This window comes from Homo sapiens, chromosome 22 (assembly GCF_000001405.40).
Source record: "Homo sapiens chromosome 22, GRCh38.p14 Primary Assembly".
In the NCBI taxonomy this organism is placed as follows: Eukaryota; Metazoa; Chordata; class Mammalia; order Primates; family Hominidae; genus Homo; species Homo sapiens.
In genome coordinates, this window is record NC_000022.11 from 24,927,579 (window position 1) to 24,949,274 (window position 21,696).

General features: G+C 48.0%; 1 protein-coding gene across 3 annotated transcripts, besides 1 other annotated feature; it reads right to left on the reverse strand.

Annotated features, from left to right (window-relative positions):
- Positions 1-7,519: 7,519 nt before the first annotated feature.
- LHFPL7 (LHFPL tetraspan subfamily member 7) lies at positions 7,520-19,116 on the reverse strand. Of its 3 annotated transcripts, none has more exons than NM_001001663.4 (4): positions 18,994-19,116; positions 11,757-11,873; positions 10,571-10,709; positions 7,520-8,017 (listed from the first exon to the last, which is right to left on the reverse strand). In NM_001001663.4, the coding sequence occupies exons 3-4, from the start codon at positions 10,695-10,697 to the stop codon at positions 7,755-7,757; spliced, it is 390 nt and encodes a 129-aa protein (NP_001001663.1). In that variant the 5' UTR covers positions 10,698-10,709; positions 11,757-11,873; positions 18,994-19,116; the 3' UTR covers positions 7,520-7,754. The 3 variants fall into 3 exon arrangements, with proteins under 3 accessions (NP_001001663.1, NP_001375128.1, XP_047297261.1); NM_001388199.1 differs by having other exon boundaries at positions 11,757-11,974; XM_047441305.1 differs by having other exon boundaries at positions 7,530-8,017; positions 11,757-11,974; positions 18,966-19,094.
- Positions 9,624-9,918: a silencer, noted in NCBI's record as "tiled region #9438; HepG2 Repressive non-DNase unmatched - State 13:Ctcf, and K562 Repressive non-DNase unmatched - State 13:Ctcf". NCBI's record gives its function as "represses a minimal TATA promoter and a strong SV40 promoter by Sharpr-MPRA in HepG2 and K562 cells {active_cell/tissue: HepG2 | K562}" and the evidence as "EXISTENCE:reporter gene assay evidence [ECO:0000049][PMID:27701403]".
- Positions 19,117-21,696: the final 2,580 nt, after the last annotated feature.

Genomic DNA, 21,696 nt, shown 5'->3' on the forward strand with positions numbered 1-21,696 from the left:
GCCTGGGCAACATAATGAGACTCCGTCTCTCCAACAAAAACAAACAAACAAACAAAAAAAAAATTAAAATTAGCTGGATGTGGTAGCGTGTGTCTGTGGTCCCAGCTACTCAGGAGGCTGAAGTGGGAGGATTGCTTGAGCCCAGGAGATAGAGGCTGCAGTGAGACATGGTCATGCCACTGTGCCTCAGCCTGGGTGACAATGCAAAATCCTGTCTCAAAAAAAGAAAAGGAGCATGGACCCAGGCTGGGAGATAATTGAGGCCATTTTTGCAAAGAGTCTACCACATTCCCAAAGGTCCAGTGCACAAGAGGGGTTCCCAGTCAGCCATTTGACATGAGAGCATAGCTCTAAATTAACACTTCTCTGAATCCCACCTGCTGAGCTAGCTCATTTCTCACCTCTGATGCTCCCAAAGACAACGAGTTCATTTCCCCCAACATCGCTGGTTCTCACTCATGGCTGCCATTCAGAACTATAGTCATCAGGCAGTGAGCACCTTGCGCAGATCTCCATCTCCATCAGTCTCTAAACATGGACTCAGGAAAACTAGTTTTCAGCTACGGAAGTGCAGCCTGATTTAATATAATGAGCACCATCAAAACTTCAGATTTTAAATAGAAAAAGATTTCCAACTGAGCCAGCAAAGTAGAGGAGAAGTTTGCAGGTGGCATTGGCTGCCTGGGTGTGCCACATCACCACTTTCTTGGAAGACTCCCAGCAGAGGCAAGAATGAAACCCACAGCAGCCGGCAGGTGGGGGCTCTTTTAGTTGGAACATATGCTTCCTCCTGGGGGAAGCATCTCAGAGCAAATACTGGTCCTGATGTTGCCACTGTCCCTTGAAGCCTCCAGTCTCATTTCTCTGACTTCAACCTGAACTCTGTCCGTGGGCTATACTCCTGGAGGGCGCCACTATTGTTTGCAGCTGCCTGGCACGGCCAGACCTGGGGAGTGCTGGGCACCTGTTGCGTGTGCACAGATGCCTGGTCACATGTGCTATTGGCCTTTGATCATTGGCAATATATTTTACAGGGAAAAAAAATCCTAAGAGAACATTTTTGCTTTTGTAAAGGCTTTTCTAAATACATGCACTCGGGCTGGGCACGGTGGTTCACTCCTGTAATCCCAGCAGTTTGGGAGGCCGAAGTGGGTGGATCACCCGAGGTCAGGAGTTCAAGACCATCCTGGCTAACATGGTGAAACCCCGTCTCTATTAAAAATACAAAAAAATTAGCTGGGTGTGGTGTCGGGCGCCTATAATCCCAGCTGCTCAGATCGCGCCACTGCACTCCAGCCTGGGCGACAAGAGCGAAACTCCGTCTCAATAAATAAATAAATAAATAAATAAATAAATAAATAAATGCACTTGAACTTTGCATAGATGCGAAAAGATGGGTCTTGGATCATGAGGCACATTTTCACGACTCAGTGGGGCTGAAGAAGTGGTCTTGGTTTCCATGGGCACCTGCAGTTGGCATCGTGGCCCCTGCTCTTCTCTTCATCCCCCTTTCCTGCACCTCTTTCTCTTTTCCTTCCCCTTCATCATATTCCTTTCCTCCTCCCCCTTCTCTCTCCCCTTCTTTTGCCTCCTCTCCTTATATCAAAGAGCACTTGGATAGCGTCTGTGCTCACATTTTCTACCTGAATTATGCTGGTCTTACACAGAGCAAGACTGCAGTGTGAAGCCCTTTCTGGATGTTCCAATTTTTTTTTTTAAACCATCTGCCATTTCCTTTTCTCCTAGAATTTTCCTTTTGGCTTATAGGAGAGAACTTGGGGCAGCTGAGAAGCACTTTTCATGCCAAGAATTTGGGAGGCCCTTGCCTTCCCATTTCAGAACAGCTGGCAGCCATGTTCTGCCATTTTATTTTATCTTCCTTCTTCCCCTCTGTCCTCTCCAAGGCCTGAGATCTCAGTAGCCCAGGGGGAAGGGAAGTAAGGGTGTAATCAGGGACTGTGATGGGATTTCTCTTCTCTCTCATCTTTTTTTTTTTCTTTTCATCAGATGCTCTTAGAATAGAAGTTCGCTGTCTTGGCTGGCCATGGTGGCTCACACCTGTAATCCCACCACTTTGGGAGGCCAAGGCAAGTGGATCACTTGAGGTCAGGAGTTCGAGACTATCTTGGCCAACATGGTGAAACCCTGTCTCTACTAAAAATACAAAAATTAGCCAGGCATGGTAGCGAGCGCCTGTAATCCCAGCTACTTGGGAAACTGAAGCAGGAGAATCACTTGAACCCGGGAGGTGGAGGTTGCAGTGAGCCAAGATCACGCCACTGCACTCCAGCCTGAGCGACGAGTGAAACTCCATCTCAAAAAAAAAAAAAAAAAAAGAATAGACTGTAGCTGTCAAAGGAAATAATGATTATTTTACAAAAATACTATTTCTTACCAAGGGCTTTGAGTCTGAAGCCTGTTCTTTCTCTCTCACAGAGAGATGTAGCAAGAGTTTGAGAGGCATTGAAGACATGCTAGTACCCCATGAGCCTTTCTTCTTGGAGGATTCAAAGGGGAGTTGAAACAAGAATGACTTTCTCTGCTGAGTGCGGTGGCTCACGCCTGTAAATCCCAACACTTTGGGAGGCTGAGGCAGGCAGATCACCAGGTCAGGAGATCGAGACCATCCTGGTCAACATGGTGAAACCCTGTCTCTACTAAAAATACAAAAATTAGTCAGATGTGGTGGGTGGGGGGCGCCTGTAATCCCAGCTACTCAGGAGGTTGAAGCAAGAGAATTGCTTGGGCAGAGGTTGCAGTGAACTGAGATCATGCCACTGCACTCCAGCCTGGCGACAGAGCGAGACTCTGTCTCAAAAAAAAAAAAAAAAAAAGAATGACTTTCTCACCATACCAACTAAAATCATGTCATATAGCTCTGTCCACATATTCGGGGAACAATAATGTAGGATCCCAGATCTGGTACTATGGCTGTGTGGCCTTGGGCAAATTCCTTTACCTCTGTGAACCCAGAAAATCTGAGGCAGGTCTCAGTTAATTTAGAAAGTTTATTTTGCCAAGGTTGAGGACATGCCTGTGACACAGACTCAGGAAGTCCTGACGACATGTGCCCAAGGTGGTCAGGGCACAGCTTGGTTTTATACATCTTAGGGAGAAATGAGACATCAATCAATATATGTAAGAAATACATTGGTTCGGTCTGGAAAGGCAAAACAACTTGAAGCAAAGACAGGAAGACTTGAAGTGGGGAAGGAGCTTACAGGTCACAGATGAGTGAGACACAAACGGTTGCATTCTTTTCAGTTTCTGATTAGCCTTTCCAAAGGTGGCGATCAGATATGCATCTAGCTCAGTGAGCAGAGGGCTAACTTTGAATGGAATGAGTGGCATGTTTGCCCTAAGCAGTTTCCAGCTGGAGTTTTCCTTAGTGATTTGGGGTAGTTACCTTTCACACCTCTTAGCCTCAGTTTCCACTTCTGCAAAATGGAGATAATAATGCCTCCTTTGGTTCTGGACTCAGTCTTGGCCCCTCCACCCTCATTCACTGGAACTCTCTGCCCCTCAGCATCACTGAGGATGGGGGTGGGAACCCATTTGTCCTGAGTTCCCATCGTCTACCTTTCTTAGGTTCTCAGGTGAGACTTTGATACTTAAGAGAATGCAGCTGTAGGAGGAGAACTCCAGAAAGGGTGAGCCTTGGACCCTCCTGGGCTATGTCTTAGAGAAACTCTGAAATTCGGTATGATAAGGCCATCAGTTCTTGGCAGGAGCATCATCTACACTGACACTGCAGTCTGCATCTGATTCTGCTGTCAGGAAAGGGCTCCCAGCTCCCCATCTTTTTGGCTTCCAAGCCACTGTGCATATTGAGAGCTTGAGCCCAGGACAGGTATAAACTCTAGAGGAGCACAATTTGACACTTTTTGAAGTGCCAGCTTGCCAGTCCATTTCTAAGTCAACTCCAGCAGAATTCAAATGACCAACGGGATTGTGGAGACTTTCCATTACATAAGGATGTGGTACAGGGACGCTCCAATGTCTTCCTGGCTTTCTTTTTTCAAATTTGTGGGCACAGTAATTTCCAGGCTTTGTAGGTGCAGGACTCCTTGCAAACAATGGATGCCTCTTGTTTTGATGAAGAGAAAATTGCAGCACTCCCTCTATTGCCAAATAAAGACAGAGTCTCTCTGTAACTGATTCTGCTTTACCGGCTGGAGAATCATTCCCTTTGGCTTTGCTGAAACAGTTCAAAGAGAAAATTAAGAAACTCAGGGGCCATAGTGAGGTTATTACAGAGAAGAGGCAGCATGTTTCAAGCACCAGTAGGTGCTGTGCAGACTGAGTTTGAGCTTCTACTTGCTGGCTTCCACTTGCCCCTCCTTGTACTGGGATCTGCCCGAGGCTTAAGGCATCTACCCATATGAGACAGGTTTGCACTGAAGTGCTTCTGATAACACTTGAAATGAACCACTGGTCTTCAGTCCATTTGAACCCCTTGGGGTATCTTCCTAGATTTGCTATTACTTTTTTTCTATTGTTCTGTTTTAAAAAGCTGTCAAGTTGTTCTTATTGTTCATACTGAAAGATAAATAACAATCTGTGTTCTCTGTGAACTATGTGTCTTCAGAACAGTGGAATCACTCCTGGGGGGTGTTCATGTATATTCTTGGGTGGGTGTTTGAAGCCAAAAGAGTTTGATTATGAGGAGCTGGATGGATGGGGACAGAGGAAACAAATCCAGGTGTTATTTTGAATCTATCACAGAGTCTGACAGACCTGGGTTCAAATCCCAGCTCTGTCACTGATCGGCTGTGTGGCCTTGGGCAAGTAATTTTACCTCTCTGAGCCTTGATTTTCACTTCTGTGAAATTGGGATAAGAAAGACTCCCTTAAAGAGAGAACTGGCCATTGAGTTTCTGCCTGCTCAGCATCCTTCCCTCCTTCTGGTACCAGCACCCCCTCAACTTTGGGGAACTATAACGGTGGCCTTCTAGTGAGACTCCTGACATGGCCCTCCCTGCCCAGGGGTGAGCACATGACTCATTGCAGGCCGATCAGACCCCTTCCCTGGGATTTATATATACCAAGAGAGGAAAGAGAAGTTCACTCTTTCCTCTGGGGCAGCTATGCTAGGAGATGCCAGCCTAGAGCTGCCTATGACCATGTCTTCTGCAGATAGGAGTCAAGTATGGCTGGGTCCAGATGTTCAGATGAAGTTCTTAGAGCTCCACCTCTCTCCATCTCGTGCTTCTATTCTCCTCCATGCTGGCTTCCACAGAGCCCATGCCCAACTCTGAATCAATCATTCTGACCAGGTGTGATTCGCCAGAAGGGCTCATTTATCCATCTTAAAGCCCAAGGTGGCCACAGAGTGGCTGTGGGTCATTTTTTTTTTTTTTTTTTTTTGAGACGGAGTCTCACTGTGTCACCAGGCTGGATGGAGTACAGTGGCACAATCTCGGCTCACTGCAACCTCTGCCTCCAAGGTTCAAGCAATTCTCCTGCCTCAGCCTCCCAAGTAGCTGGGACTACAGGTGTGCACCACCTCCCCCAGCTAATTTTTGTATTTTTAGTAGAGATGGAGTTTCACCATGTCGGTCAGGTTGGTCTTGATCTCTTGACCTCATGACCCACCCACCTCGGCCTCCCAAAGTGCTGGGATTACAGGCGTGAGCCACGGCGCCTGGCCAACTGTGGGTCATTTTTTATAGGAAGATTAGGGTACTGCTCCCGAAGAAGAGCAATGTATCAACACAGGAGAAATCAACAGATTGACTCCTGGCCGAGCAAGCAGCATGTGCCAAGCTGTAGAGGTGGGAATGTTCCGGGACCAAACTGAGGGTCAGGCTGCTATTTCTCATGACCCAATAGTGAGATGCAGATGAACTGGGGAGAAAGAAAGTTTCCTATTTCCGTAACCAGTTAGAGGGAGAAGGTCTGGAAATTATTGCCAGACCAATTCAAAATTACAAAGTTTTCCAGAGCTTATATATTCTAAGTTATATGTCTACATGTAAGTGTGCACTCATCTGAAGATGTAAGTGGACCGGGCGCGGTGGCTCATGCCTGTAATCCCAGCACTTTGGGAGCCTGTGATGAGTGGATCGCCTGAGGTCAGGGGCTCGAGACCAGCCTGGCCAACACGGTGAAACCCCACCCCTACTAAAAATACAAAAAAATTAGCTGGGTGTGGTGGCACATGCCTGTAATCTCAGCTAATCGGGAGGTTGAGGCAGGAGAATCGCTTGAACCCGGGAGGCGGAGGTTGCAGTCAGCTGAGATCACGCCATTGGACTCCAGCCTGGGCAACAAGAGCAAAACTCCATCTCAAAATTAATTAATTAATTAATTAACTTCTTTTAATCTATAACTAAGGTCTGAGTCTTGAAGACCTTCCTCTGGAGCCTCAGTAAATTTACTAATCTAAATGGGTCCAAGTAATGAGATGATTACCCTTATCTTGTCTCCTGCTAAATCACGGGGATTTGGGGGGTTCCTTCAGACCTCTAATAAAGTTGTTTGTGGAGGCCTGGGGAGTTTCTTCAGAACCCCAGTAAAACTTGTTTAATCCTAAAATGGGTAGTGTTAAGAATTCCTTCGTTATTTTGTCATGCTTTGAGGCCCAGGAAAGGCCTAGGCAAAACTCTTGGTGGGCTTTTGTTACATTCCAGCCTTTGTATAAGGTCACTGGCTTTTAACATTAAACTTAAGCACTCGGTCAGTGCTGAAACAGTTGTCATGGAGGCCTGCATTTGGTGAGTCCTGGCGTGCCACAGGAATAGGACTGCTGTGGGCTTAGAAGTTTACTGTGGCTAGAAGGAGAGGCACAGGGGTTGGGTGGGTGACAAGAGCCTGAAGAGAGAGGTTGGAAATGGATTCTAAAGGGTCCCAGGTAACAGTGTAGTTTCCACATCAACGGGATTATTTTCATAAGGGGTGAGAAAGGTCCTTAACTCCTTCTCCCCACCCCAAAATTGGCTCTTTTTTTTTTTTTTTGTCTTTTTTGAGACAGAGTCTCCCTGTGTCTCCCAGGTGGGAGTGCAGCGGTGTGATCTCAGCTCACTGCAACCTCCGCCTCCCGTGTTCAAGCAATTCTCCTGCCTCAGCCTCCTGAGTAGCTGGGACTACAGGCATGCACCACCACGCCCAGCTAATTTTTGTATTTTTAGTAGAGATGGGGTTTCACCATATTGGCCAGAGTGGTCTCGAACTCCCGACCTTATGATCCACCCGTCTCAGCCTCCCAAAGTGCTGGGATTACAAGTGTGAGCCACCGCTCCCAGCCTATTGGCTCAAAATCTTATACATAATAGGCAGTCACTAAATATTTGATGAGAAAATAAATAATTTTCAAATTATCTAAAACAAGGAAGAATTATAAAAAGAGAAGGGAGAGAGAATATGCGCATGCCAATTAAACAATTTAGTTTTTGAGTGACAACCATGAACTCAGAATTAGCCTGGGCAGTTTTCTTAAAGATGTTGACTTCTCAGCACAGTCCTTGAGGTAAGGATTGTAATAATAGTAGCCAATATTTATTGAACGCTATGTGCCAGACATGGTGCAAAGTGCTTTATTTACACAGAGCATCTCCAGTGAATTCTCAGAACAACCTTATGAGGTAGGTATGATTTCAACTTTCATTTTCCAGAAGAAAAAACTGTTCCAGAGAGGTAAAGTGGCTTGCCTGAAGTCACACAGCAAGAAGGAGCAGAGATGGGATTTGAAGTTGGCTACATGATGATTTCATAAAACTCTGGAGTGTGCCCTTTGTGCTACTCCCAGGAGATTTTTATTTGTTCATTTCTGGCACAAAGATGATTCTCTCGGTGGCACTGGAGAAGATGATGGTCCTCCCTTGGACCTTGGTTGTGTGGGGCCAGCTGATGATGGGCAGGAGGCTGGCCAGGACTGCATTGAGGATAGCAGTCATGTAACCCCAACCCAGCCGGCACTTCCCACCATAATACATGGAGGAGGCTTCGCACACTTCCTTGATGAATGGGGAGGCAAGGCCGATTGGGAAAATCAGCAGACCCACAATCATGGCAGTAGCTGGAGATAGCAGGAAGGAAAGACAATGTGTTGGCCAAGGGGTACCTCACTAACTTTCCATCCCACGACTCATCCACCCTTTATCCACCCATCCATCTATCCACCCACTCATTCATTCATTTGCTTATTTATTGGCTCATCTCTCCTTTTGTCTACCCACTCATTCAACTACGCTTCCAACTATCTGTCCCTTCACTAACCCATCCATTCAAACATACTCTTACCCACTTATTTTCTCTATCCTATCTACATATCCATTCACACATCCATCCTTCTGTCCATCTTCCTACTTAACCACCTGCCTGCCACCCATCCATCTGCTCACCCATCATCCACCCTCATCTTCCATTCATCCATCCAGTATACCCATTTTCCTCATCCATCCACTAAAATATCCACCCATTCATTCATTGTTCATCCATCCACTTAACAACCCACTCATTTTTGCAATTCCCTAACCCACCCATCCATCCATTCACTTATTTATTGGCTCATGTCTCCTTTTATCCACCTACTCACTCACTCAACTACACTTCCACCCTTCTGTCCATCTGCTCATCCATCCACTCAGCCATGTTCATCTCCACTTATTCTCTCCATCCCTCTGTCCACCTATTTATTCACTCATCCATTCATCTGTCCATCTGCCTACTTAGCCACTTGCCTCCCACCAATCCATCCATCCACCCATCTCTCATCCTACATCCATCCAACTATATTCCATTCTATCAATTTTTCCTATCCTTGCATCCATCCATTCATCCATCCACCAGTCCATCCATCCATCTATCCATTCATCCATCTACCAATGTATCCATCTATTCATCCAACAGTTCATTCATCCACTTATCAACACACTCATTCATCCATTCACTAGCTCACCCATGCAGTCACGTGTTCATTCATCAAAACTGTTAGAGGTGCTGCAGTGGGCATTAATGATACTAATGAAATGACTGGACACCTTCTTGCTTCCAAGGCACTCATAAAAGAAATCAGAAGATCCCCTGGCCTCCCTTGCTGCTCTCCAGCCACCCTTGTCTACTTTCAGTTCCCTGCACATGCCTTGCTCCCTTTTTTCCATGCCTTTATTCTTCAGGTTCCCATTACCAGAAATGCCCTTGTACTCTTGGCTAACTTCTACTCATCCTTCCAGACTTGGCTCAGGTGGGACCTCCTCCAAGAAGCTTGCCTTAACCCATGCATACACTGGGCCCATCCATGCACTGGGTCAGGTGTTTCCTGGAGTTTTTTCTAGCATCCTTTGCTCATCCCCACCATGTGAAATATCCACTGACTGATGCCCTCCAACCCCCGCCCCCCCCGCCGCCCAACAAACTAGACACTGCAAGCAAGCCTAGGACAAGGATCATGTCTCCATCAATTGACTCAGCAAATGTTTATTGGGCACCTATTATGTATGAAGCACTGTGCTAGGGGCTGGTGATAACCAGGCAGACAGACATGTCCTTCTCCTCATGGAGCTGATGTTCTTTGGAGAAAGAGGGACAATAATCAAGTAGGCAGATTAGATATTTCAGGTAAGTATGTGCTATGAAAAATATAAAGCAAAGTAAGAAGATGGAGAATCTAAGGAGAGGGAAGATCCCTTAGCTAGAAGTCATGGAAGACCTCATGGAGGCAGTGATATCTGAGCAGAGCCCGTAATGAAGTGAGTAGCAAGACCTGTGAAAATCTGGGGAAAGAGGAGTCCAGCAGAGGGAGCAAGCATGGTGTATATGAGCAACAGATTGCAAATCAGAATAGCCAGAGCACACTGAGCCTGGCAGAGGAAGGAAGAGATGAGGTTGGTGAGGGACTGGGGACTGGGTTAGGTGGAGCCTCATAGGCTACGGTAAGAAGTTCAGATTTTACTCTGAGTATGATGGGAAGTGATTGGAGGGTGGATAAGCCAGTCTGAGTGGCATGATCTGATGTCAGGTTAACAGGACTCGTTTGTCCAGTATGTGGCCAAATAGACACTAAGGGGGAGCAGTGACAGCAGTGAGACCTGTGAGGTGCTTATTGCTGTAATCCAGGCAAGAGATGGTGGAGCATTAATTGAATGAGGATTGCAATGAAGACCTGGCTAGTATATTCAAAAGCTATGTATAAATTACAGAAAAGTGACCCTTCTCAAGAGATGCAGTCTTGCAGGTTCACAGTTTAGCAAGTGAAGTATGGACTAGATTTCAGCATCTTCTCAGTTCTCAGCTGGGCATGCTTGCACAGTGCACAACATCCCCAACTGTGTATGGTGGCCCTGGTAAGGATGACATGAAGTGGATGGATGAGCGAGAAACAAAGGGGGACAGATTATTAGGACTGGGTCAGCTAAGAGCAGTAATGGGTGACACTAAGGATGCCATCTCTCCCTCCCCCTGATTTCTGGCTTGCCAAAGGACCAGGAATAGTCAACAATCCTAGGGTTTATCTCTGAGGTCTGACCCGAGAGGCCAGGCTCTGCTCACAGACTCATTCATTCATTCATTCATTCATTCATTCCATAAATATGTCTAGAGCACTGACTATGTGCCTGTGCATTGGATTTACCTGCCACTGCCTGCACCCCTGGCATTGGAACACTGCTTCTCCTTGGGCACAGCCCTTTGGGGGCCACAGCCCAAGACAGGAGGAAAATTGCATTGAAGGCCAACAGGAGCCAGCCTCCGAGGAGCATCACAGCTGAGACCTGCAGGGAAGAGACAGGAGGAAAATTGCATTGAAGGCCAACAGGAGCCAGCCTCCGAGGAGCATCACAGCTGAGACCTGCAAGGAAGAGACAGAAGGAAGGGTGTTGGCTGGGACAGGGGCAGGTGGATGCTCCCCTGCTCATTGACCAGCTTCTGAGTCCTCGCAGCATGTGGTTTGTGCTATTATGATCTCCATTTTACATAAAAAGAAACTGTCCAAGAAAATAAATTTTCCAATAAAAGTCCAAGAAACTGAAGTCATTTGCCTCAGAACACATGGGTAATTAAGTGGTAGAGCCAGAATGAAGATCCACATTGACTGACCAGCATATAGTACCTTTATTAAGCACTTGCTACATGCCAGGATCATCAGGAGAGGCACCTGGTAGCTGCTGTTACATCACCCTTATAACAATCAATTTTGAAGGCTGTATATTCTTCCTTAGAGGTGCTGGACTAGGAGTCCTTTCCCATTCTCCCCATTGTTGATTTTGGCAATGTGCATCATAGCTGGGACTTTAACACCTTAGCTTTCATTTTTAAACCTAGCAGTGTTTAGAGGGTGGCCAGGTAAGAGCGTGCAGGTTGTATACTGCACAACTCTCAGAGACACGTTGGGGGCCATCATAGATTTGCAAACTGATTACAGTGACTTTCCAGCAGATGGCAGTAGAGCATCCTAAAGAAGGGGCACCTTTTCCTAATTTGCACGAAGGTGCTACATTGGCCGGCAGCTGCCTTTGGAATCATCCTGCATGTTTGTTAAATTATCAGTAGCCGGACCCCACTCCACGCCTACAGAGACAGGGGCTCCGGGTGGAGCACAGAACTTGGCATCTTTGCAAAGTTGCACAGGTGTTTCTGAAGGGCTGTCAGGTTGAAGAACTTCTATGCTCAGTTCTAAGGAGAGTAATGGCAAATTCGAAGCCACTGGGACACTCAGGCAGTGAGGAAAGCCTCCTCGAATTCCGCTCAGCCAGCTTTCCTGCCTTAATGAGTTTAAACGAGCCCCTGAAGACCCAGTGACTTGGTGAGCCAGCTCTCACCTTCCAGGCAAAGTCAGGAATATCCTCCAGGGAACTGAAGGTCACGCAGCTCTGGTTCCAACTGTTGCCCTGAGGCCAGGAGCAGTAGGTGAGGATGCCAAAGGAGAAGGTCGGGGTCTGGAACCAGGCAGGGGAGATGAGGCTGAAGGCTGAGGTGCAGGTCAGAGAGAGCCCCAGAGCTACCCACACACTGCTCAACATTAGGCAGTATCGCTGACCTAGGGGTCAACAGGGAAGATTACTAATGGAGACTGCAGGGACAAGGAGAGAAAGGGGCTGGCCGAGGTGCTCCCTAGCCAGGGATCTGGTGTTATGATCAGACCCCAGATCATCAGCCCCCCTTGAGCCTGGAGATGCAAATGGGAGGTACTAATAACTGTGGTCTGGTAGTGGGGGTTACTTTGCCCTAGCAAATTCTAGAAGTACAACCCCCAAGTCCTAGAATAAATGTTAGCCCTGAAAGACCTTTGAACATTTGCCCCTCCACCTTCTTCATGGCACATCATCCTCACTGGTCCATGCAGGGCTCTTCTCATATTCCGTGCATACTTTCATTTGTTCATTTGTTCGTTCGTTCATTCATTTATCGCTTTTTTTTTTTTTTTTTTTTTGAGACAGATTATTGCTCTGTCGCCCAGGCTGGAGTGCAGTGGTGCGATCTCGGCTCACTGCAAGCTCCGCCTCCCGGGGTCACGCCATTCTCCTGCCTCAGCCTCCGGAGTAGCTGGGACTACAGGCGCCCGCCACCGCGCCCGGCTAATTTTTTGTATTTTTAGTAGAGACGGGTTCCACCGTGTTAGCCAGGATGATCTCGATCTCCTGACCTTGTGATCCGCCTGCCTCGGCCTCCCAAAGTGCTGGGATTACAGGCGTGAGCCACCGCGCACGGCCTATTTATCCATTCTTCCATGGAGCCTCCTCTGTTCTAAAGGGCTGCTTCTACCCAGTCGGGGCACCTTTTAAAAATTCACACACATAGCCGGGCGCGGTGGCTCACGCCTGTAATCCCAGCACTTTGGGAGGCCGAGGCGGGTGGATCACGAGGTCAGGAGATCGAGAACATCCTGGCTAACACGGTGAAACTCCGTCTCTACTAAAAATACAAAAAAAAATTAGCCGGGCGTGGGAGCGGGCGCCTGTAGTCCCAGCTACTTGGGAGGCTGAGGCAGGAGAATGGCGTGAACCCGGGAGGCGGAGCTTGCAGTGAGCCGAGATCGCACCACTGCACTCCAGCCTGGGCGACAGAGCGAGACTCCGTCTCAAAAAAAAAAAAATAATAATAATTCACACACATATGCCCGCCCTTCCTTCCTTCCTTCCTTCCTTCCTTCCTTCCTTCCCTCCTTCCTTCTCTCTCCCTCCCTCCTTCCCTCCTTCCCTTTCTTTCCTTCCTTCCTTGCTTCCTTCCTTCCTTCCCTCCCTCCCTCCCTCCTTCCTTCCTTCCCTCTCTCTCTCTTTCTTTCTTTCAGAGAAAAAAGGTTGGAGTGCAGTGCATGATCATAGCTCACTGCCACCTCAAACTCCTGGGTTCAAGCGATCCTCCCACCTGCTGAGTAGCTGGGACTACTGGGGCAGCTAATTTTTATTTATTTTTATTTTTTTGCAGAGACGTTCCATCACATGTGGCTAATTAGAAACCTTTTTTCTTTTCTGTGGAAACAAGGTCTCCCTATATTGGCCAGGCTGGCCTCAAGGAACACAGATGCTGTTTATAGCAGCCACTTTGTTTTTTTTTTATTTTAATTATTTAATGTATGTCATTTTGTGTGGAGTTAGGTTTGCAAAATTGGTGTGGTGCTGTATGCGTGCATTTCTCATTGCTGCAGATGGTATTATCTTTTTTTTTTTTTGAAACAGAGTCTTGCTGTGTGTCGGCCAGGCTGGAATGCAGTGGTGCCATGTCGGCTCATTGCAACCTCTGCCTCCCAGATTCAAACAGTTCCCCTGCCTCAGCCTCCCGAGTAGCTGGGACTACAGGCACATGCCACCACACCTGGCTAATTTTTGTATTTTTAGTAGAGATGGGGTTTCACCATGTTGGCCAGGCTAGCATTACGTATTGCATTCTGCGTCTTACTTTTGGACTGAAACACCATGGATGTCTTGGTTTGGGTTCCCTTGAAGCAGATCCCAAGGGCCTCATCTCCTAATATCATCACCTTGGGGGTTAGGGTTTCAACATATAAATTTTGGGTGGACACAAATATTCAGTCCATAGCAAGACTCTAGTGAGAATCTGTGAATGTGGTTTGATTTTGCGTATATTTGTTTTTTTTTTTTTTTTTGGCATGATACTGCTTTTCCAATGGAAATTCAAATTTTTTTGTTTGTTTGTTTGTTCATTTGTTTTGTTTTGAGACGGAGTCTTGCTCTGTCTCCAGGCTGGAGTACAGTGGCGCGATCTCAGCTCACGTAACCTCCGACTCCCTGGTTCAAGCGATTCTCCTGCCTCAGCCTGAGTAGCTGGGATTACAGGCACAAGCCATCACGCCCAGCTAATTTTTGTATTTTCAGTAGAGATGGGGTTTCACCATGTTGGCCAGGATGGTCTCCATCTCCTGACCTCGTGATCCGCACGCCTCGGACTCCTAAAGTGCTGGGATTACACGCGTGAGCCACTGCACCTGGCCGAAATTCAAATGTATTTTATTTATTTATTTATTTATTTATTTATTTATTGAGATGGAGTCTCACTCTGTCACCCAGGCTGGAGTGCAGTGGCACGATCTCCATTCACTGCAAGCTCTGCTTCCCGGGTTCATGCCGTTCTCCTGCCTCAGCCTCCCGAGTAGCTGGGACATAGGCGCCCGCCACCATGCCCGGCTAATTTTTTGTATTTTTAGTAGAGACGGGGTTTCACCCCGTTAGCCAGGATGGTCTCGATCTCCTGACCTTGTGATCCACCCGCCTCGGCCTCCCAAAGTGCTGGGATTACAGGTGTGAGCCACCGCGCCCGGCCTCAAATGTATTTTAATATAAAAGTAAGTCAATGTAGAGTCAAGTCTTACTTTAATAATAGTCATGGTTTCACGGCATGGCTGAGACTGGAAGGTGATTTGCTAACAAATAGCCAATCCTGCCATTGATGGCCAGAAAGGAAGCCCAGAAGGGTGAGCCTGCCCAAGGGCACTCAAGGTCAAAAGCAGCTGAGCTGCCAACCAGGCCAAGGGCACTTAGCCAGCTTTGCCAGGCACCTGCGGCACAACCTTGGGTTTCACTTTGGCCATCTAAGCCCAGCCACCCACTAAACATGGCAGGAATTCTGGGGTTAGAGGCCAACCAACCACTCCACCATATCCCTGGTGCGGGACCTGGGGCAAGTGGCTCTAGGCCCATTGCTCTAGGCCTCAGTTTCTCCATCTGTACAAGAAGATTATGAATCCCTTAGTCTGGACTAGGGGCAGACAGTGTTGGGATCAGTCAATGGGCAGGGTGATATGATGGAAAAAGGCAGAGAAGCCCAGATCCTCCCCTTCCCATCTATAGGAGTTTGGGGAGATGGCCTCACCTCTCTGGAAAATGGGAGTGAGGGTTGTTGTGAAGCTTCAAGGGGATAAAGTGTGTGTGTGTGTGTGTGTGTGTGTGTGTGTGTGTGTGTGTGTGTTGCTGGGGGAGGGGCAGAGATAAACCTGGGCAGGTATATCTGGGTCAAGTTGCACGGGCTTTTTACCCCGAGATGAGAAAAACCTCGTGGCTGCTCGCCAGCAAGTGGAATATCCTCCCTTGAGTGAGAGGGGACAGTATTTTTATGGGGTTTTTTTGGTGGTGGTGGTGGTGTTTTCCCTACACCAAAATCAGCCTCTCCTTTGGGTTGGCAAGATAGTGAGGGGTGTAATTCCAGCCAGGAAGCCTGGGAGAGCTGAATCCACCTAGGCCTATGATTGTGCCTCTCTCTGGCTGCGCCAGTGGCTGTCCAGGCGTTTCTCACCTTGAAAGGAGTTTTGTTCTCCAGATAATGCTCAATGTCACCTGGGAAAATCACGTCAACCGTCCAGGTGCCCAGAAACCTAAATGAGGCATTATAACCCGAAACCACATCCGGCCAGGCTGCAATTGGCTGGAATCCACCTAAGGAGAGCTTGAAAGGGACTGAATATTTTCTCCTCTGGCTCAGTGCTTAACTTTTAATAGCAGTCAACAATTTCTGGGCACTCACCAGGCTTCGGTCTAAGCACTTGCATAGGTAAGCACTTGTTACCTATAAGCCTTATGGCCACCTGATGCGATAGATACTATTATAGATAATATTATCACTGTTCCCATTTTACAGATGACAAAACTGAGGCTCAGGAAGCAAGCCATAGAACTGAGACTCATACTTTGGGAATCAGGCTCGGGTTCTGGGCCCTAAGCCCAAAGTGATATTAAGGATTTAATTTAAAGGCCAACGAACCCAACGGCTTACTAGAGCTGCCCAAGGTTAGGGCATGGTCAGCTCTCATGCCTGCCCTGCCCAGGGGACAGGGATGATTCCAGAGAAGCCATACAAAGGCAGAATCTCAGGAGGAGAAATGGGACTGGGAGTTTAGAGGTAGCTGCTAGGGACTTGATATGTCAAGCCAAGTCTCTTTCTTCTTCTGGCTTCTATGTCTTTCTCTGTAAATTGGAGGGGTTGATCAATCATTCATTCAACTTTAATGTGCCCAGCTCAATGTGATCTCTTAACCCCCTACCCCCAGGATACAGTGGTGAACAGAACGTAGTCCCCACCTTCAAAGAGCTTAGAGTTTTGCAGGCAAGACAGACCAACAAAATATAGCAATATGTCCATGTGCTCACTCATTCAACAAATATTTATTGGGTGTCTACAATGTTCCAGGAACTGTTCTAGGTCCTGGAGGATTCAGCAGTGAGGAAAATAGAAAAAGCCCCTCCTTATGGAACTTAGACTCTGGAGGGAGAGAGAGAGACAGGGAGGAAATAAGCAAGTCAATATGTAATATGTTAGATGTCAATAAGTGCCCTAGAGAAAAATGAAGCGTTGGAGGGAGATAGCAAGTGATTGGGTAATTGGGGGATAGTCATGGAAAGCCCCATGAGAAGGTGACCTTTGAGCTGAGCCTGAAGAAGGTGATGGAGGGAGCCACGTGGAGAGGTGTCAGAGGAATATTCCAAGCAGAGTGGGGAGCAGGTGCAAAGGCCCTGAGGGGAGTGTGCCCTTGGCACATTTGAAGATGCAAAGAGGCCCATGTGACTAGAAGTAATGAGGGTAGGAAAGAGCGGTGCGCCTTGTAGCAGAGATAAGGTCTTGCTCTGTTGCCCAGGCTGGAGTGCAGTGGCACAATCACAGCTCACTGCAGTCTCAACCTCCTGGGGCTCAAGCAATCCTCCCACCTCAGCCTCCCAAGTAGCTGGGGCTACAGGCATGCACCAACATGCCTGGCTATTTATTTATTTATTTATTTATTTATTTATTTATTTTGGTAGAGATGAGGTGAGGTCTCTCTATGTTGCCCAGACTGGTCTTTTTTTGTTTTGTTTTGTTTTTGTTTTTGAGACCGAGTCTTGCTGTGTCGCCAGGCTGGAGTACAATGGCGCGATCTCGGCTCACCCCAACCTCTGCCTCTCGGGTTCAAGCAATTCTCCTGCCTCAGCCTCCTGAGTAGCTGGGACTACAGATGCGCACCACCACGCCCAGCTAATTTTTGTATTTTTAGTAGAGACGGGATTTCACCACGTTGGCTAGGCTGGTGTCGATCTCTTGACCTTGTGATCTGCCCGCCTTGGCCTCCCAAAGTGCTGGGATTACAGGTGTGAGCCACCGCGCCTGGCCGCCTAGGCTGGTCTTGAACTCCTGGCTTCAAGAGATCCTCCTGCTTTAGTCTCCCAAAGTTTGGGGATTATAGGCATGAGCCACCGTGCCTAGCCTGGCTTTTCACTTGTGAGTGTGGTAGGGAGTCTATGGCTGGTCTTTAGCAGGGGTATGACATGAACCATCCTAGGTTTTCAAAAGACCACTCTGGCTCCTGGGTGGAGAACAGGCAGAAGGGAAGCAGAGGGAGAAGTCTTCAGAAGATGACTCGTCAGTCAGACAAGAGACAAAGGTGGATGTGGATGGACGTGGAGGTGGGGTTAGGGGAGGAGGACAAAGAGTGGTCAGATTCTGGATTGATTTTGAAGGGCAAAGGTCAAGCTGATCAGATTTGCTAATAGAATAGGCCTGGGGTGTGAGGGAAGGTGAACAGGCAAGGATGCCTCTAGGGCTTTTGACCTGGGACGAAGAACCTGCAGAAGGAACATGTTTACTAGGGCAGCCGGAGGTGTCTGAGTGTGAGGTTGCGTAAGCAAAGCTTGAGATGTGTATCTTCCCCAACCCATCAATCGATATATACAGGCTTGAGTACAGACACAGCTCCACACCATGAAAAAGCCTGGGGTGACACTGGGGACAAGCACAGAGGAAGGGCACCCAGTCCAGCCTGGGGGGTGCAGGCCATGTCCAGGCTGAGATGCACAGATGGGCAAACTGGGTCTGGGAAGGACTTTTATCTCTTATCACATTCTCCCGGCTATGCAGCCAGGTAAGTCCAATTTCTGGATCTATTCCAGCATCTGTCACAGATTGGCTGTGCCACCTAGGACAAATTATGTAACGGCTCTGAGCCTCAGGTTCCCCATCTACAAAAGGAAGGTCTGTGGGACTTAACCCTTTGATGCATTCCTTTGAAGATATGATTTAAAACTATGGATGTTGGCCAGGTGTGGTGGCTCACACCTATAATCCCAGCACTTTGCAAGGCCAAGGCGGGAGGATCACGTGAGGTCAGGAGTTCGAGACCAGCCTGGCCAATATGGCAAAACCCTGTCTCTACTAAAAATACAAAACTTAGCTGGGCATGGTGGCGGGTGCCTGTAATCCCAGCTATTCGGGAGGCTGAGGCAAGAGAATCACTTGAACCCGGAAGGCGGAGGTTGCAGTGAGCCGAGATCACACCACTGCACTCCAGCCTGGGCGACAGAGCAAGACTGTCTCAAAAAAAGAAAAACAAAAAAACAAAACCCCAGAAAACAAAACTATGGATGTTTCCACGTGCACTCTCACATAAGCAAGCATGCACACATGAGCGCACATGCACCCACCCACCCACCCACACACACACACACACACAATTGTATGTCATTTCAGAGGCTCATGGGCCCCCTGAAGCCTGTAACAGCCCCTGAACGTGCTTTGTGCTATCCCAGTTTCCTTCCCTCCTCACTCCTCACCTCAGGTCACTTGTCCCTCCAGACTCACCACACTTTAGGTCAAGACCCTCCAGCGTGGCCACCTCTGCTCAGGCTCCGGCTTTGGATCCACGTCTGTGACCTTATACAATTCTCCTCTCCTTTGAAGGAATAATTTAGCTTGTAGAACAATGCAAGGGCATGCTTGATGAACTGGTCTGAGGGTGTGTCTGTGTGTGTGTGTGTGGTTTTTCCTTCCCACTTCCTTAAATAAAAGCTTTCACTCCAGGCTGCTGGGTGGGCTGAGCAAAGAGGGGAAAGCCATCTCCAGGTGGGGACAAGGGGAGAGTATAGTGTTTTCTGGGTAGGGCAAGGCACCAATAGGGATTAACTGATCTATGATTAAACGCCAGGTGTAGGAAACCACAGATAGAATCTCAGGAGGAGAAATGGGATTGGGAGTTTAGAAGTGGCTGCCACTGTGTTCTCTACCTTTCTGCCCTCATAATTCCAGCCCAGGCAACTGATATGCATATTTCTGTGTATTTCTCATAGGATCTTCCCTGTGAGCTGTGGACGTCTCAAAGTCAGGCACTGTGTCTTAAATATCTTTATCCTTACCACAAAACTTGGCACAGAGTAGGTGCTGGTATTCTTTTTTTTTTTTTTTTGAGACAGAGTCTCACTGTGTCGCCCAGGCTGGAGTGCAGTGGTGCGATCTCGGCTCACTGCAAGCTCTGTCTCCTGGGTTCACGCCATTCTCCTGCCTCAGCCTCCTGAGTAGCTGTGACTACAGGCTCCTGCCACCATGCCCAGCTAATTTTTTGTATTTTTTTTTTTTTTTTTTTTTTTAGTAGAGACAGGGTTTCACCTTGTTGGCCAAGATGATCTCGATCTCCTGACCTTGTGATCTGCCCACCTCGGCCTCCCAAAGTGGTGGGATTACAAGCGTGAGCCACCGCGCCTGGCCTGGTATTCTTTTGCTATAAGTGATGGAAGCACCACTCAAATAGACATGAGAAATGTATTGGTTCACGTAACTGAAAATTCTCTGGGATGGGCTTCAGGCATAGTGGGATCCAGGTAAATAAGCAATGTCTTCAGAACCCCTCTCTCTCTCCAGCTCTCAGTTCTGTTTTCTGCTCAGTTGGCTTCACTCTCTAGGTGGATTCCCTCTAACAATATTGCCCTTTGGTGGCTCCAGGCTGACATTCCGAGACTCAGCAACCCCAGAGAAAAGAAAGCTTCTCTTTGCACACTATTGCAGCAAGTGCTGTGATTAACACTCAATGGACAAACTTGGGTCCCATGCCTACCACGAATCAATCACTGTGGCCAGGCAAATGGGATGCTCTGATTGGCCAGACCTACATCCTGTGTCCTAGGGTTGGGGGTTAAGGTTTGGAAAGTGAGGATCAAGTAAGGGTGTCGCGAGGCTTACCGCCCTTGAAACGACATGGACTGAGTGTAGCGGGTGGGATTCTTCCCTGGAGGAAAACGGAGATGCTGTTGGCAGAGGGGAGATGGCTGCTAGGAAGGTGAGAACAAAAGACATCGTCTCGGTGCACAGGAAATGCGAGCTTTTCCCTGTAGATTAACGAATGAGCACCTGGCAGTTGGTATTGCCAGAAGCAGGAGGTTCCCAGCCAGTTAGAGGCAGAAAATCTCAGTGAAGCCGTGTCTCAGGCTTCATTCAAGTCCCAGCTCTGCCGCCTCAGTCAGTGTGACCTGAGTTGGGGCATCACTGCCTCCTTGGCCTCAGTTTCTCTACCTGTAAAATGAGGGCGTCTGGAGTGGTGGCTGCCTGGGTTTTTTCCCCAGTCACTCATTCAATCATTCATATATTCATTTTTCCCCTTTCAATCAATATGTGTTGAAGGGCACTGGAGTTAGCCTAAACTGGATTTGGATTTCAGTTGTGATGTTTACTCGCTGTATCAGGCTTGACTGATGCACCTTCTCAGGTGTGCTCAGCTGCGTCCTTCCCAGCCAGCCAGCAGCTCTGGACAAGATCAAGCCTCCTCTTGCTTCCGCCTGCAGGCGGCTTGGGTCAGTTGCTGCATCTACTTAGCCACCTAGGCCTGCATCTCCCGCTGTCATTCAAGCAGACCTGACCTGCTTCAAGGGAGGGAGCCCTGGACCCTCCTCTTCTAGGCTCAGGTGAAGCCCTGTGTATGGAATTGGCTTCCCTTGGGGCTGTCTGGAGGCACAGATAACACAGTTGGGCCCAACAGTGACTAATCGTGGACAGAGGATGGGAGGCGCCAGCCGATGAAGTCCTCGCGCTTCCTTCATTCCTTCCATGGTCTGTTTCACGTGGCTTCTGTAGCCAGCCTAGTAAGGCATGTCTTATATTTGCTCTCCCTCCTCCCTTGCCTTGAAGTCCCCTTCCCTTCACCCTTACTGAGCTGGAATTTTATCCCTAATAAAGCATTAGTACATAAAATTTTCCTTGGGCTCTGTTTTCCAGGGAGCCAGGCTGAAATACTAGCTGTGTGACCTTGGGCAACTTACTTAACCTCTCTGAGCTTCAGATCCTTCATCTGTAAAAGGTAGATAATAATAGAGCATCTCAGCGGGGCACAGTGGCTCATACTTGTAACCCTAGCACTTTGGGAGATTGATGTGGGTGAATCGCTTGAACAAGGAGTTCAAAACCAGCCTGGGCAACATGGCAAAATCCCATCTCTACAAAAACACAAAAATTAGCCAAGCATGGTAGCGCATGCCTGTAGTCCCAGCTGCTCGGGAGCCTGAGGCGGGAGGATGGCTT